Raw genomic sequence first — 16,791 nt, 5'->3', positions numbered from 1 at the left:
TTTTTTTTGAGACGGAGTCTCGCTCTGTCGCCCAGGCTGGAGTGCAGTGGCGCAATCTCAGCTCACTGCAACCTCCGCCTCCTGAGGTCAAGCTATTCTCCTTCCTCGGCCTCCTTAGTAGCCAGGATTAAAGGCGCACGCCACCATGCCCGGCTAATTTTTGTATTTTTAGTAGAGACGGGGTTTCACCATGCTGGCCAGGCTGGTCGCGAACTCCTGACCTCGCGATCCACCCGCCTCGGTGTCCCAAAGTGCTGGGATTATAGGCGTGAGCCACCACGCCCGGTGAACCTCCACTTCTTACAAAAGTGCCAGGTACACTGAGTTACTGAGTACAGTAACTGAGTAACACTGGTCACTGAGTACAGCTTTGAATGAATAAGAGCATGAAGATGCGTTTCCTGTTCTGGGACTGACCAGCTTGATAGGCACCAAACACAGACCAAAAGTCTCAAACTCTTAACTGTATCAAGTGTTAACTGTGTGGTAGTGGACTGCTTAACACTGGGAAGTAGGCCGGATGCGGTGGCTCACACCTGTAATCCCAACATTTTGAGACGCTGAGGCGGGCGAATCGCTTGAGGCCACGAGTTCGAGAGAAGGCTAACCAACATGGCGAAATCCCACCTCTACAAAAAAATACAAAAATTAGCCGAGCGTGGTGGCACGCGCCGGTAATCCTAGCAACTCGGGAGGCTGGGACAAGAGAATCGCTTGAATCCGGGAGGCGGAGGTTGCGGTGAGCTGAAGGGTGCAATGAGTAGAGATGGCGCCACTGCACTTCAGCCTGAGCGGCAGAGCAAGACTCTGTGTCAAAACAAACAAACAAACAACAACATAGGGAACTGTTAGTATTTCAATTAGCATTCCACAGTGGTTTTGTTTTTGTTTTTTTGTTTTTTGTTTTTTTGTGGAAGGTTCTGGCTGATCTTTACAGACAGGGTTCAGGAGTTGCCCCAGAGATCCCTGCTTGATCCTTTCCAGACAGGGTTAGGAACTGGGCTCTGAGCCTGTCTCTGTTGCTGTGCCCACTGCAACCTACCTTAAACACCTGTTTAACGAATCTGTTTTCCTCCTAGAATGTTTCTGCTGTGAGGACAGGAACTCTCTGTATATCTGCAATCCCTGAGTCAGTGCCTCACTGAAAGCTCTCAAAAACTGTCCTTGAATGAAAGAATGGAGAGTTGAATGAGGGTGATTGGTCAGGAAAGGCTTTTAGTGGAGGAGGAGGGTCAGAATTAGTCCTTGGAAGTTTTTGTTTGGTAGAGAGAGGGGAAGAACATTTCTGTCAAGGACGATGATTTTCATAATCAAATGGAATAAGTTTGTCCTGAGAAAAGCCATTCTGTTGGGCTGCCTTGTTTTATTTTCTGTATAGTACCTATCGCTATCTCTCAAATTCTCCAATTTGTCCAGTTGTTTTTATTTATTTTTAATTAAAAAAATTTTTTTTAAAAATAGACAGTGTCTCACGTTCTTGCCCAAGCTGGTCGCAAACCCCTAGCCTCAAGCAATCCTCCTGCCTTGGCCTCCCAAAGCGCTGGGATTGCAGGCGTGAGCCCCACCGCACCAAACCTGTCTGCTTTTTTTTTTTTTTTTTTTTTTTTTTGAGACGAAGTCTCTCTCTGTTGCCCAGGCTGGAGTGCAGTGGCACCACCTCGGCTCACTGCAACCTCCGCCTCCCAGGTTCAAGCGATCCTCCTGCCTCAGCCCTCCTAGTAGCTGGGATTACAGACACGCGCCACCATGCCCGGCTAATTTTTGTATTTTTAGTAGAGACGGAGAGTTTCGCCATGTTGGCCAGGCTTGTCTCAAACTCCTGACCTCAGGTGATCCACCCGCCTCGTCCTCCCGAAGTGCTGGGATTACAGGCGTCAGCCACCGTGCCCGGCTGTCTGCTTGTTTTTAAACCATATTTTTCTTCTGTCACTTTGTCATGTAAGTGACATTGGGCAGTGGTCTTGATGGTAAGGCTCTTGTATTTTTTGTTGTTTTGCTTTAAAAGAAAAAAAACCAAACCTACATCACCACAACCCCAGTGTTTAGAACAGTACTTGGCACGTAATAGGATCTCAAGAAATAACTGTCGACTCGGAGTGAACGTTTTTGCAGCACAATGTGCCTCTCGCTCTGTGCTCCCTCACTCCCATATAGCTGGACCCAGACGTTTTCTTTCTTTTTTTCAGACGTTTTCTTTCTACTTTTCAAACCATAAACTGTGAAGCTGTCGCTATATGTAAGGTATCTGGCAAAATGATATTAACTATAGTTATTGTTATCTGGACGCTTAAGATTGCAAAATGGATTGTCAAGGATTAGGAAAAAAGGTTTTTGCCAGGAAAAACAACTCCTCTTTACCAGAAGTGGGGTTCGAACCCACGCGGATATGAATCCATTGGATCTTAAGTCCAACGCCTTAACCACTCGGCCATTCTGGTAACTGATAAAACAATGTTTTATTTTAAAGCAACTCGGGTAACACTAGGCGACTAAAGTTTCGGAACAATTTAAAATTACTTTTTTTCCTGATATAAAAGAATAATATGGGGAAAAAACTTGGTAACTTTGATTATATTTCCCTAATTTCTTTATCTCGCCACTAGAAACTGGGGCCAGGTAAAAGTGAAGGAGAAAAGGCTCGATAGAGGAACGGGATTCTTTACGCCTTCAAGTGAAGGGACATAACCAGGAACTGCAATTAGCTGCAATTCACATCATTCCGGAAATTTTAAATGGTAGACAGTTCTCGTTTCATCTATTTTATATCCATTCCCTCCGCCTAACTTTCCGTTTGCTCTTCTTCAAACAAAAAGCGACTCTGGTGGGACTCGAACCCACAACCTTTGAATTTCTCTAACTATCTAGAAGTCCAATGCGCTATCCATTGCGCCACAGAGCCAGACACGTGCGACCTCTCCGCGATGAACACATCAGGGGAGGCACTTTCTTTCCACAAGTAAGTGTGGAACCTTTGTCTCTAAAGAGAGCGTGGGTAGGAATTACACTGGAAAGTCTGTAATCCTGGTGAAAGTTTCTCTTTTCGTGATCGCTGAGCAGTAAATCCCTTTCAGTCCACGTTGTTAACATGTCTTTATGCAGAATTGCTAAATCCAGAGACAGCCATTCCGCACGCGGTTCCATAGTGTAGCGGTTATCACGTCTGCTTTACACGCAGAAGGTCCTGGGTTCGAGCCCCAGTGGAACCACGGCGTGATTCATACCTTTTTCTTTTCTTTCCTTTCTTTATAATGTTTAGTATTAACATTTTGCGAGCCCAATCGTGGGTTTTGGTTCAGGAAGCTGGAGACGCAGACATTTTGACAATGTTTCTGTGCGGTCGTGCTCCTCTGAATACTGGAAAATGAGGAATCCTTTTGAAAGTTTTTCTCTGTGCACAATCGCCGGATGTCAAGTCTACATGACCATTTCCCAGTGCCAAAATGTCTTTTTGAACAATTATCAAATCCTGGAGGAACGTTTTAGTCGTGTGGGGTTCCATAGTGTAGTGGTTATCACGTCTGCTTTACACGCAGAAGGTCCTGGGTTCGAGCCCCAGTGGAACCATGAGATGTTACCTAGCGTTTTGTGAGCCAGGTGTTGGGTTTTGCACCAGGAAGCTGGCGACGAACCCGTGTCTCAAGAATTTCTACGGCTTGTTTCCCGCCTGCTGCATCAGCCCGGTTTCTCTTAGCGCTCGGCGCTGAGTCGGCCTCCGCGGCGGCCCCCGTATGGCGCCTCTCTGGAGGTGCAGGCGGCTCCGCTCCACCGAGGCTTCGCTCGCCCCTGCGCCTGCGCCTTTCCACTACCTGGCCAGCCGGCTTCTGGGTTCCTGGGTGTTGCCCCTTGGCTCACCTACCTTCTCCTAAGCCTTGCTTGGGCCATCTCTAAAAATTGCCACCACTAAGTCGAAGGACATCACGAAGGCCGCCCTCATACTTTATTTATTTAAATTAAAAATGCTTTTTGAGGCCAGGCGCGGTGGATCATGCCTGTAATCCCAGCACTTTGGGAGGCTGAGGCGGGCGGATCACGAGGTCAGGAGATCGTGTCCATCCTGGCTAACACGGTGAAACCCCGTTTCTACTAAAAATACCAAAAAAATTAGCCAGGCGTGGTGGCGGGTGCCTGTAGTCCCAGCTACTCTACTCGGGAGGTTGAGGCAGGAGAATGGCGTGAACCCGGCAGGCGGAGCTTGCAGTGAGCCGAGATCGCGCCACTGCACTCCAGCCTGGGAGAGAGCCGTCTCAAAAAAAAAAAAAAAAAAAAAAAGCTTTTTGAAAAATTAATTTCATGCACAGAATTCAGAATCCCTCCACGTATTTCACAACTGATGTTTCCATCCCATCTTTCAATGGTTAGCTGTTTCTTTTGTGACCCTTCAGAAATTGTCTATGCATTCACCAGTATACACGTACATTTACTTTAAAACCCACTTCACGCTTTTTGTACGAAGGTAGCACACATAGGTACCGCTCCCATTTCCTCAACAATATTCTGAAAATCTTCCTATTTCGTTCATACATCTTCGCTTATCCTTTTACTTCCTGTGTTTGGATATATCACAATTCTTTATGCCTTTTGATGAACACTTAAATTGTATCTAGTCTTAGGAACAATGCTGAGCAGATTTCCTTGTTCCTTGGTTTCAGGCAGGGCAATATGTAAAATAATCCTAGCAAAACCTTGAACAGGCACTTACATGGGTAGCTAACTTAATGTTCACAATGTCTCTATTATTATTTATCCCGTTTTACAGACGAGGGAGAGGAAGCATAATGAGATTAAGAAATGGCCCAGGGTTACACCCCTGGTCAGGGACAGAACACAGTACCAACCCAAGCAAGAAGAGTGTTGCCTTTATGTCTCAGAAGAAATTTAATTGATGGCTGGGCGCACTGGCTCACACCTGTAATCCCAGCACTTTGGGAGGCCGAGGTGGAAGCATGGCTTGAACCCAGGAGTTTGAAACCAGCTTGGGCAAAAAAGTGAGACGCCCTCTGCAAACCCGTCCCACCAACCTCCCTGCTCGTCCCCACCAACCCTGCCACAGCTCCTTTCAAAACAGCTTGTATCAAATTACACTCACACCAATATGAAAGCCCTTGTTCTTCCTGTCTCTCTCAAATGAAAATAACTGAATTTTGAGTCAGCTGGAAATGGTTTATTTTGTGTTTTTTTATTGTGAGTTAGGTTGAACGTTTTTCATGTACTTAAAAGCTTCCTTTCTTCCTACTATCTGTTCACCTCTTTTGTTCAATTTTCTTATGTATATATTCTGTTAATTTATGTTTAAATTGGTTTTTAGGCCGGGCGCAGTGGCTCACGCCTGTAATCTGAGCACTTTGGGAGGCCGAGGAGGGCGGATCATGAGGTCAAGAGATCGAGACCATCCTGGCCAACATGGTGAAACCCTGTCTTTACTAAAAATACAAAAATTAGCTGGGTGTGGTGGCATGCACCTGTAATCCCAGCTACTCAGGAGGCTGAGGCAGGAGAATCGCTTGAACCTGGGAGGCGGAGGTTGCGGTGAGCCGAGATCGTGCCACTGTACTCTAGCCTGGTGACAGAGCGAGACTCCGTCTCTAAATAAATAAATAAATAAATAGGTTTTTAGGTGCTCTTTGTAAATTCAGATTTAGGATATATTTTGCAAATGTATCCAGAGTTGCCATTTGTCTTTTGATTATATTTTTGATATTCCGTGCGATGTAGAAATTAAACATTTTTTTGAAGTCAATTTCATCATCTTTTTGGGGGGGGTGCAGGAGAGGGGCTTTTAACATTTCCTGCCTAGAAAATACTTACTCACTTTGAGATTATATTTCAAAAATTATTCTATATTTTCTCCTGATTGTTGTATAGTTAAACATTTTCTAATGTTTCAACCTTCTGTCAGAGGCCTTGGAACCAGAGCAACTGCATCTTGAATAGGGGCTGGGTAAAATAGGGCTGAGACCTACTGGGCTGCATTCCCAGGAGATTAAGGCATTCTAAGTCACAGGATGAGATAGGAGGTCGGCACAAGATACAGGTCATAAAGACCTTTCTGATAAAACAGGCTGTGGTAAAGAAGCTGGCCAAAACCCACAAAACCAGGATGGCAAAGAGAGTGACCTCTGGTGCCCTCACTGCTCATTATATGCTAATTATACTGCATTAACATGTTAAAAGACACTCCCACCAGCACCATGACAGTTTACAGATGCCATGACAATGTCAGGAAGTTACCCTATATGGTCTAAAAAGATGAGGAACTCTCAGTTCTGGGAATTGTCCCCCACTTTCCCAGAAAACTCATGAATAATCCACCCCTTGTTTAGCATATAATCAGGAAATGACCATAAAGGTGGACAGCCAGCAGCCCTAGTGGGCTGCTCTGCCTAAGGAGTAGTGATTCTTTATTCCTTTGCTTTTTTTTCTTTTTCTTTTTCTTTTTCTTTTTTTTGGTGATGGAGTCTTGCTTTGTCGCCCAGGCTGGAGTGCAGTGGTGCAATCTCGACTCACTGTAACCTCCACCTCCTGAGTTCAAGTGATTCTCCTGCCTCAGCCTCCTCAGTAGCTGAGACTACAGGCACGAGCCACCACGCCGGGCTAATTTTTGTATTTTTAGTAGAGATGGGGTTTCACCATGTTGGCCAGGCTGGTCTTGAACTCCTTGACCTCAGGTGATTTACTCTCCTTGGCCTCCCAAAGTGCTGGGATTACAGGCATGAGCTACCGCGCCTGTCCTATTCCTTTACTTTCTTAATACACTTGCTTTCACTTTACTTTATGGACTTGCCCTGAATTCTTTCTTGTGCAAGATCCATGAACCCTCTCTTGGGGTCTGGATTGGGACCCCTTTCCGGTACCACTTTGATCCATATGAAATTTCTATAACTGGCATGAGATAGGAAAGATGGACTTCTTTAAAGGGATTTTATATAGCACTCTGGATAATCTAGGTGTGTATGCATAAATCGGTCACCCTGGTAAAATCCCAACAATTCCAGAAATGAAGCTGGTCCTGCCTGTAACATGTTGCTTAATGTCCTTTCCTTAGAACTTTCCAGAAGTTCTGCTGACCTAGACTTTCCTGCACATCCTCCTTGAGTTCATCAAACTCCCTTCTGCTTTCCTGCGTTCCTTAGGTTGGGTTAGTTCCCTTCTCATAAACAGCATAGTTTTGGGCAGTGTGGTGTAGACTCCAGAGATTCAACACAGGCAACCCCAGAGCCAAATCGAGGTTCAGTGTTATCTCCTCTTGGTTGTGTGAACTTACCACAGTATATACCAGTCTATGTGACCTTGGGCTAGTTGCTTAACTGCTATGGGCTAGCTTCCTCCTCTAAAATGGGGACAATAGCTCACATGATTCTGGAGAAGATTTATTTATTATTAATTAATTTATTATTATTATTATTTTTTGAGACAGTCTCGCTCTGTTGGCCAGGCCAGGCTGAAGTGCATTGGCACAATCTCAGCTCACTGCAACCTCCACCTCCTGGGCTCAAGCTATTACCCTGCCTCAGCCTCCCGAGTAGCTGGGATTACAGGCACCTGCCACCACGCCCAGCTAATTTTTGTATTTTTAGTAGAGACCGGGTTTCACCATGTTGGCCAGGCTGGTCTTGAACTCCCAGCCTCAGGTAATCCGCCTACCTTAGCCTTCCAAAGTGCTAGGATTAAATGATCTGTGTATAGTAAGCACAGAGTAAATGTCATCTACTGTTATTGTATTGCCAGGTAAGTCTGGTTCAATTTGCGTAGAACAATAAGGCTTTTCCTTGGGGACATTTCTAGAAAATGCTAATTGCTAAGCATATCAAATCTGTTTGCTCCTTGGCTTGTAAATCATTGTCCTCTGTCTCTATCGCTTCACACCGTCTTCCCTTTATGGGCATCTTGGTCTCCAAATTTCCCCTTTTTGTAAGGGACACCAATTATATAGTATCAGGGCCTACCCTAATAACCACATTTTAACGTTACCTTTATCTTAACTTTACTTTAACTTTACCTCTGTAAAGATCCTGTCTCCAAATAAAGTTATGTTCTAAGGTACTGGGGGTTGGGACTTAAACATATGAATTTCAAGGGGACAGAATTCAACCCATAGCCTAAGTTGTTAAAACAGAACATATAATTTTCCCCCCAAACATGGGCTCCTTCTGTTATTTCCCTTCTTGGTGAATGATATCACCATCTACCCAGGACTCCAGCCAGACACTGAGCGATTACCTTGTGTTTTCTCCCGCCATGCAGACAGTCACTGGAGCCTGCGGATCCTTTTGTCTGCAACTGAAACCGCCTTTGCAAAATTATGACTGAGACAGTGAAAGAGGTCCAACTTAAACGACTCCATCTTGCCTCTAACCTCCAAGCTGTCCTTGTTCATTTCTGGGCGCAGGCTGAAAAAACTTTGGGAGGAACTTAGTTTATAGTTTTAAAAAATGACAATAACAGCCCTTTCCCAGAACAAACTCCCTTCTTGCCTGGAGACTAGACTACTAAAGTTAGCCACAGTATTAGAAATTACGGTTTAGGAGTCAAGTAGTTGGAGGCCACAAGATTCTGACCTTCCCTAAACTGCTCCCAAGATCAGTGCCTGAGATGTTTTGCAGACTCTACTCTTGATGGATCAACTGGCACCACCCATATCGAGAAACCGGCCCATCTGATCTTGTGACTCACACCCAGGAACTGACTCAGCGCAGGAAGACAGGGACGCGCCGTAATTTCACCTCCGACCCAACCAATCAGCACTCTCCAACTCACTGCTCCTGCACTCCCACCACATTCTCTTTAAAAACTTTGATCCCCAAATGTTCGGGGAGACTGATTTGAGTAAAAATAAAACTCCGGTCTCCCGCTCAGCCGGCTTTGCGTGAATGGCTATTTCTTTATTGCGATTCCCCTGTCTTGAGGAATCGGCTCTGTTTAGGCAGTGGGTAAGGTGAGCCCATTGGGCGGTTTCACAACGACTTCTCCTCCATTTTGCTACTTAGTTCAGGTTTCTGTCGTCTCTGTCCTGGAATACCAAGTGTGTCCCTGTCTCCAGTTTTGCACACTCCAATCAATGCTTCACACAGCAAACAGAGTGACTTCTCTAAAGTGTAAATGTCACGTTCCATCTCCTCACCCACAAGAGCCCTCTGAGATTTCATCTCCCTCTCCAGCCTATCTTTTGCTTCATTTCCTCCCTTCCCTGGTGCCCCAGCCCTTGTCGTCTTTCTGGTATCTTCTCCCCTACCCTCATTATTATCTTTAAAACGAACTTGGCTACAGTAACCAAAACAGCATGGTACTGGTACCAAAACAGATATAGACCCATGAAGCAGAACAGAGCCCTCAGAAATAATACCACACATCTACAACCATCTGATCTTTGACAAACCTGACAAAAACAAGAAGTGGGGAAAGGATTCCCTCTTTAATAAATGGTGCTGGGAAAACTGGCTAGCCATATGTAGAAAGCTGAAACTGGATCCCTTCCTTACATCTTATACAAAAATTAATTCAAGATGGATTAAAGACTTAAATGTTAGACCTAAAGCCATAAAAACCCTAGAAGAAAACCTAGGCAATACCATTCAGGACATAGGCATGGGCAAGGACTTCATGACTAAAACCCCAAAAGGAATGGCAACAAAAGCCAAAATAGACAAATGGGATCTCATTAAGCTAAAGAGCTTCTGCACAGCAAAATAAACTACCATCAAGTGTACAGGCAACCTAAAGAATGGGAGAAAATTTGTACAATTTACCCATCTGACAAAGGGCTAATATCCAGAATCTATAAAGAACTTAAACAAATGTATAAGAAAAAATCAAACAACCCCATCAAAAAGTGGGCAAAGGATATAAACGGACACTTCTCAAAATAAGACATTTATGCAGCCAACAGACACATGAAAAAGTGCTCATCATCACTGGCCATCAGAGAAACGCAAATCAAAACTACAATGAGATACCATCTCACACCAGTTAGAATGGTGATCATTAAAAAGTCAGGAAACAACAGGTGCTGGAGAGGATGTGGAGAAATAGGAACACTTTTACACTGTTGGTGGGACTGTAAACTAGTTCAACCATTGTGGAAGACAGTGTGGCGACTCCTCAAGGATCTAGAACTGGAAATACCATTTGACCCAGCCATCCCATTCCTGGGTATATACCCAAAGGACTATAAATCATGTTGCTATAAAGACACATGCACATGTATGTTTATTGTGGCACTATTCACAATAGCAAAGACTTGGAACCAATCCAAATGTCCATCAATGATAGACTGGATTAAGAAAATGTGGCATATATACACCATGGAATACTATGCAGCCATAAAAAACGATGAGTTCATGTCCTTTGTAGAGACACGGATGAAGCTGGAAACCATCATTCTCAGCAAACTATTGCAAGGACAAAAAACCAAACACTGCATGTTCTCACTTATAGGTGGGAATTGAACAATGAGAACACTTGGACACAGGAAGGGGAACATCACACACCAGGGCCTGTTTTGGGGTGGGGGGAAGGGGGAGGGATAGCATTAGGAGATATACCTAATGTTAAATGATGAGTTAATGGGTGCAGCCCACCAACATGGCACATGTATACATATGTAACAAACCTGCACTTTGTGCACATGTACCCTAGAACATAAAGTATAATAAAATAAAATAAAATAAAATAAAATAAAACCAACTACTCCCTGTTCTTGACAGTTTGGATACAATTTTTTTCTGCAATGCTTTCTTGACTTCAGCTGCAGCCTCAGTGGCACTGGTCAACCCTTCCAGGCCCATTCAGTTTTGTGGTGTGAAGGTGAAGGAGGTCAGGGCATCTTGCTACTTATTATTTATATTATTTTAGAGACAGGGTCTTGCTCTGTCACCCAGGCTGGAGTACAGTGATGCAATCACAGCCCACTGCAGCCTCCAACTCCTGGGCTCAAGCCATCCTCCTGCCTTAGCCTCCCAAGCAGCTGGGACTATAGGGGCACATTCTCCACACCCGGCTTTTTTTTTTTTTTTTTTCTGGAGACCGACTCTTGCTTTGTGGCACAGACTGGAGTGCAATGGCAAGATTTCGGCTCACTGCAACCTCCGCCTCCTGAGTTCAAGCGATTTTCTTGCCTCAGCCTCCCCAGTAGCTGGGATTACAGGCACGTGCCACTACGCCCGGCTAATTTTTTGTATTTTTAGTAGAGACTGGGTTTCACCATGCTGGTCAGGCTGGTCTCGAACTCCTGACCTCGTGATCTACCCACCTCGGCCTCCCAAAGTGCTGGGATTACAAGTGTGAGCCACCATGCCCGGCCAATGCCCGGCTAATTTTTAAAAATTTTTAGACAGACAGGGTCTTGTTATGTTGCCCACCGTGGTCTCAACTTCTGGGCTCAGGCAATCCTCCTGCCTCAGCTTCTCAGAGTACTGGGATTAAAGCCATAAGCCACCACACTTGGTTTGTTATTTATTTTTATATATTTCTCTCTCCTACTCCCAGGAGGTATTCTTAAAGAAAAGATTATTGCAAGAGAAGAGACAGATTGGGCTTAACTCCAAATGTGGTAGAGACAGCTGGGAATTTACAGCAAAGGAGCAGAATTGGGGTGGGGTGGGGTCAGTGGATGGAAAATTAGTAACAGGAGACATCAGGGGTAAGGGGATTCTCGGTATTATCAGGATTCTTGCTGAATTAACAGGATTCTTGCTGAGGGTGGACAAGGGTGATCAGATATCAAGGGTCAGAGGGATTTCTGATACATTGAGTTAGAAGGATACTTAAAAAAACTGGACTATCTGCAAGCTGAGGATGGGACTGAGGCCAAGGTCTAGGCCTAGTCGAGAAGAGGGCTCAGAGAAGTCTGACTGAAGTCTGGTCAAGGACAGCATTTGTCAGTACCCCAGCTGGTTCCCAATCTGTAATTGGCATGTGGTTCATGCATATCCAATCAAATGTGTTTTTGAGAAAAAGACCTTTTTAATATTTAAAAATTTGGTCTTCTCATGAAGTAAATTTAATTCAACTTCTTTTGTAATTGATTTTTTTGTTTTTTTTTGACGGAGTTCTTGCTCTGTCACTCAGGCTGGAGTGCAGTGGCGCAATCTTGGCTCACTGCAACCTCTGCCTCCCGGGTTCAAGCAATTCTCTGCCTCAGCCTCCCGAGTAGCTGGGATTACAGGCACCCGCCACCACGCCTGGCTAATTTTTTTATATTTTTAGTAGAGACGGGATTTCACCATGTTGGTCAGGCTGATCTCGAACTCCTGACCTCAGGTGATCCGCCTGCCTCGGCCTCCCAAAGTGCTGCGATTACAGACGTGAGCCACGGTGCCCGGCCTGTAATTGATTTTTATCCGTCAAAGAAAAACTGATCAGCCTTTCCTGAAGTTTGTCTTTGAAGATTTTCAAACACAGCACACAGTTTGCAGGGGAATGTCTTGTTAGAGATCACTATCTTTTAAGCTTCAAAAAGGCAGGGTTTATCATACAGCAAAATGTAAAACTTGAAATTATTAGGTATTTCTTCCAGAGGAACATATAGGAGAAAAGTTTGTAATCAATGGTTGGGCAAAATTTCTTAAGCGAGACACAGTAAGTATGATCCAGAAACTAAAAAACAATTGATAAATCTGACCTCATCAAAATGACAACTTTTGCTCCTCTAAAGACATTGCTAAAGGAAAAGACAAGTCACAGATTGGAAGAAAAAAAATTGCAAAAGACTTGTCTGGTAAAAGTCTATTATTCAGACTTAAAAAAAAAACAACAAACCCTCTTACAATTAGGGAAGAAAAACAACCTAATAAAAAATGGGCATAAATATGGACATTTCACCAAAGAAAATATACAGATGGGAAATAAGAACATAAAAAGATAATTAGCACTATTAGTTATTAGGAAAATGCACATGAAAATCATAATAAAATACCACTACACATTTGTTAGAATAATTAAAACACAAAAACAGAAACAGAAAACTGCCTGCAGCGTTCAAGCAATTCTTCTGCCTCAGCCTCCCGAGTAGCTGGGACTACAGGAGCCCACCAGTAGTGATGATCCAGCCATATCCTGGATCCTGAAGATCAGTGGGCCTCTCTGGATAAACCAGGATATTCCAGCAAGTATGCAAGTCTAAGAATATAGAAGGTGAAGCTCCCAAGGACCAAGTGGTTTCAGGCATTCACTGTCATCAGCATCTTATGTTGAAGCAACCCCATAGGCCTGAGGAATCACATCATAAAGCCACCATGCCTGGCCTGATGCTATACACTTTTAAACAACCAGATCTTGGGAGAACCCTATCATGAGAACAGCACTAGGGAGATGGTGCTAAACCATTAGAACTAATGATCCAATCACCTCCCTCCAGGCCCCACCTCTAGCATTGGGGATTACATTTCAACATGAGATTTAGGGTGGGGGACACCCAAACCATATCAAACACATACTAAGAAATATATTTTATACTGGGCACGGTGGCTCATGCCTGTAGTCCCAGCATTTTGGGAGGCTGAGGTGGGCGGATCATGTGAAGTCAGGAGTTTGAGACCAGCCTGGCTAACACAGTAAAACCCCATCTCTACTAAAAGTACAAAATTAGCTGGGCGTGGTGGCACATGACTGTAATCCTAGCTACTTGAGAGGTTAAGGTAAGAGAATTGCTTGAACCCAGGAGAAGGAGGTTGCAGTCAGCCGAGATCGTGCCACTGCACTCCAGCCTGGGCAACAAAAAAGAAATATATTTTATGCACATTAAGGTGATTATATTTACATATATATCTGCAATAAAGGTTTCAGGAAATGATTCTTTAGAAAAGTAATTAATTCTTAATCGTCAAAAGCTGTATATTGCCTGGTTTGGCTCTGTGTCCCCACCCAAATCTCATGTTGAATTGTAATCCCCAGGGTTGGAGGAGGGACCTGGTGGGAGGTGACTGGCTCATGGGAGCGGATTTTCCCCTTGCTGTTCTCTTGATAGTGAGTTCTCATGCAATCTGGTTGTTTAAAAGTGTGTAGCACTTCTCTCTTCCTCCTGCTCCAGCCATATAAAATGTGCCAGTTTTCCCTTTGCCTTCTGCCATGATTGTAAGTTTCCTGAGGCCTCCCCAGCTGTGCTTCCTGTACAGCCTGTGAATCAATTAAATTTTTTTCTTCATAAATTACCCACTCTCAGGTAGTTCTTTATAGCAATATGAGAACGGACTAATACATATAGGTGTATGTTATATAACACGATGCTTTGATATATGTATTTATTGTGCAATACCCAGATAAAAGCTAATTAACATATGAATTACTTTGTAGTGAGAACGCTTAAAATCTACTCATATATATATATATATATATATGTATATATATATATATTTATTTATTTATTTATTTTTTTTTTGAGATGGAGTCGCACTCTGCCATCCAGGCTGGAGTGTAGTGGCATGATCTCGGCTCACTGCAACCTCCACCTCCTGGATTCAAGCAATTCTCCTGCCTCAGCCTCCTGAGTAGCTGGGATTACAGGCTCATGCCACCACGCCCAGCTAATTTTTGTATTTTTAGTAGAGATGGGGTTTCACCATGTTAGCCAGGCTGGTCTGGAACTCCTGACCTCAAGCGATCCACCCGCCTCAGCCTCCCAAAGTGCTGGGATTACAGGCATGAGCCACTGCACCTGGCCAGAATTTTCAAGTATACAATATATTGTTACTAATTATAGTCACGGTGATATATGATAGATCTCTTGAAGTTATTCCTCCTGTCTAGCTAAAAGTTTATATCCTTTGACCAATATCTCCTCAGTCCCCCCACTTCCCAGCCTCTGGTAGCCACCATTCTACTCTCTGCTTCTGTAAGTTCAACATTTTTTTCCAGATTCTACATATATATGAGAGCACACAGTATTTGTCTTTCTGAGCCTGGCTTATTTCACTTAATAAAATGTCTTCCAATTTCATTCTGCTGTTGCAGATGACCAGATTTCCTTCATTTTATGGATGAAGGAAATCATCCTTCATCATATATATCATATATATATCATATATATGATCCATTCAATCATTCTCTCTCTCTCTCTCTATATGGATATATATATATATCCATTCATTCATTGATGGACATTTAGGTTGATGGTTGATTACATATCTTGGCTACTATGAATAATGCTGCAGTGAACATGGAAGTGCAGATACCTCTTTGACATACTGGTCTTATTTCCTTTGGATATATACCCAGTGGTGGGAATACTGGATTGTATGGTAGTTCTATTTTTAATTTTTGAGGAATCTCCATACTGTTTTCCATAATAGCTATACTAATTTACATTCTCACCAACAGTATTCAAGGGTTCCCTTTTCTCCACATCCTTGCCAACGCTTGTTGTCTTTCATCATTTTGATACTAGGCATACTAACATGCATAAGGTGGTACAACATTGTGGTTCTGATTTATATTTCTCTGATGATTAGTGATGTAGAGCATTTTTTTATATATCTATTGGCCATCTGTATGTCTTCTTTTGAGAAATGTCTATTCAGATCCTTTGACCATTTTCAATGGGGTTATTTTTGGTTTGTTTTTGCTATTGAATTGTTTGAGTCCCTTATATATTTTGGATAGTAACCTCTTTTCAGACACATCTGAACCATACATGGTTCACAAATATTTTCTCCCATTCCATAGGTTGTCTCTTGATACCATATATATATATTCAATGAATTGTATACTTTTTCTTTTTTTTTTTGAGACTGAGTCTCGCTGTGTTGCCCAGGCTGGAGTGCAGTGGTGCTATCTGAGCTCACTGCAACCTCCACCTCCTGGGTTCAACCGATTCTCCTGCCTCAGCCTCCTGAGTAGCTGGGATGACAGGCATGCGCCACCATGTCCAGCTAACTTTTTGCATGTTTAGTAGAGGCGGAGTTTCGTCATGTTGCCAGGCTGGTCTGGAACTCCTGACCTCAAGTGATCTGCCTGCCTTGGCCTCCCAAAGTGCTGGGATTACAGGCGTGAGCCACCGCACCGGGCAAATTGTATAATTTTTTATGCTACCCTAGACTATCCTATTTCATTAAAACAAAGCATGTCCAGACCTACTAAAATGAAATCACACTCCTTGGAATGTCAGGATCTGCAGTTTGAAAAACATTGACTTTGGAACGGTTTCTCAAAGTGTGATAACACAGGTCGCCAGCCTCAGAATCATGGATGAGACAGGGAAAGGAAGGGTGAGCTGGCTAAAAATGTAGATTCCTAGTATCTAGGACAGAACTATTTAATCTTCTGCAGATGGTGCCTAGGATTTTGCATTGTCATTAAACCGCTAGGTGATGTGGCGGATTCAATGCCATAGCAGAAGTTTCCAACTCTGATCTGTGGGGCCCTAGAGGACTGCACCAGACGTACCTCAGGGAAATATTTACAGAGCTGCTCCTCTTGATCTGTGTAAGAGTTCACGTGTCCACTTCTAAGAAACAGATCTGAGGGTTTAGAGGGAGAAAACAAATGTGATATATGGGTTCTGACATTTTGTCTCCGGAAATAAAAATTTCTCCCCCTTCCCCCTTCCCCCTTCCCTCCTCCTTTTTTTTTTTTGAGACGTAATCTCCCTCTTTCGCCCAGGCTGGAGTGCAGTGGCGCAATCTCGGCTTACTGTAACCTCCGCCTCCCGGGGTTCAAGCGATTCTTCTGCCTCAGCCTCCCGAGTAGCTGGGACTACAGGAGCCCTCAACCACCTCCGGCTAATTTTTTTTTTTGTATTCTTAGTAGAGACAGGGTTTCACCGGTTCCTGAACTTCCGCCAAAGGGAAAAACAGGGAAAAG

At 43.7% G+C, this 16,791-nt stretch overlaps 1 long non-coding RNA gene and 4 other non-coding genes across 9 annotated transcripts in view, besides 4 other annotated features; 2 read left to right on the top strand and 3 right to left on the bottom strand.

The window, feature by feature from the left end:
* Positions 1-16,791, bottom strand: part of LOC102723575 (uncharacterized) — a 23,345-nt gene extending 6,554 nt beyond the window's left edge. For 2 of the 5 annotated variants that reach the window (XR_950136.2, XR_950135.4), the window contains exons 1-3: positions 16,622-16,776; positions 16,375-16,448; positions 8,218-8,396 (exon numbers count right to left, since the gene is read on the bottom strand). This is a non-coding gene — a long non-coding RNA (uncharacterized LOC102723575). Of the gene's footprint in view, positions 1-8,217; positions 8,397-16,374; positions 16,449-16,621 lie in introns of all 5 variants that reach the window. The other 3 variants (XR_950137.4, XR_007062687.1, XR_007062686.1) reach the window with 3 other exon arrangements.
* Positions 2,356-2,438, bottom strand: TRL-TAA3-1 (tRNA-Leu (anticodon TAA) 3-1). Its single transcript has one exon. It is a non-coding gene; the product is annotated as a tRNA-Leu (tRNA).
* On the bottom strand, positions 2,814-2,899 carry TRR-TCT3-2 (tRNA-Arg (anticodon TCT) 3-2). The gene is given in 2 exon segments: positions 2,814-2,849; positions 2,863-2,899. It is a non-coding gene; the product is annotated as a tRNA-Arg (tRNA).
* Positions 3,019-3,520: an enhancer, noted in NCBI's record as "H3K27ac hESC enhancer chr11:59318146-59318647 (GRCh37/hg19 assembly coordinates)". NCBI's record gives its function as "activates a minimal SCP1, AML or CMV promoter by ChIP-STARR-seq in naive H9 embryonic stem cells {active_cell/tissue: H9 hESC(naive)}" and the evidence as "EXISTENCE:reporter gene assay evidence [ECO:0000049][PMID:30033119]".
* TRV-TAC2-1 (tRNA-Val (anticodon TAC) 2-1) lies at positions 3,134-3,206 on the top strand. The gene has a single exon. It is a non-coding gene; the product is annotated as a tRNA-Val (tRNA).
* TRV-TAC1-1 (tRNA-Val (anticodon TAC) 1-1) lies at positions 3,492-3,564 on the top strand. The gene has a single exon. It is a non-coding gene; the product is annotated as a tRNA-Val (tRNA).
* Positions 3,676-3,895: an enhancer, noted in NCBI's record as "active region_4756". NCBI's record gives its function as "activates an Ori minimal core promoter by ATAC-STARR-seq in GM12878 lymphoblastoid cells {active_cell/tissue: GM12878}" and the evidence as "EXISTENCE:reporter gene assay evidence [ECO:0000049][PMID:35858748]".
* Positions 7,956-9,155: an enhancer, noted in NCBI's record as "P300/CBP strongly-dependent group 1 enhancer chr11:59312511-59313710 (GRCh37/hg19 assembly coordinates)". NCBI's record gives its function as "activates an origin of replication core promoter dependent on BRD2, BRD4, P300/CBP, MED14 and CDK7 cofactors, with strong dependence on P300/CBP, by STARR-seq in HCT116 cells {active_cell/tissue: HCT116}" and the evidence as "EXISTENCE:reporter gene assay evidence [ECO:0000049][PMID:35650434]".
* Positions 16,235-16,294: an enhancer, noted in NCBI's record as "active region_4755". NCBI's record gives its function as "activates an Ori minimal core promoter by ATAC-STARR-seq in GM12878 lymphoblastoid cells {active_cell/tissue: GM12878}" and the evidence as "EXISTENCE:reporter gene assay evidence [ECO:0000049][PMID:35858748]".

This window comes from Homo sapiens, chromosome 11 (assembly GCF_000001405.40).
Source record: "Homo sapiens chromosome 11, GRCh38.p14 Primary Assembly".
NCBI classification, from domain to species: Eukaryota; Metazoa; Chordata; class Mammalia; order Primates; family Hominidae; genus Homo; species Homo sapiens.
The sequence above is the reverse complement of the archived record's forward strand: the minus strand, read 5'-3'. Positions and strand labels throughout refer to the sequence as shown.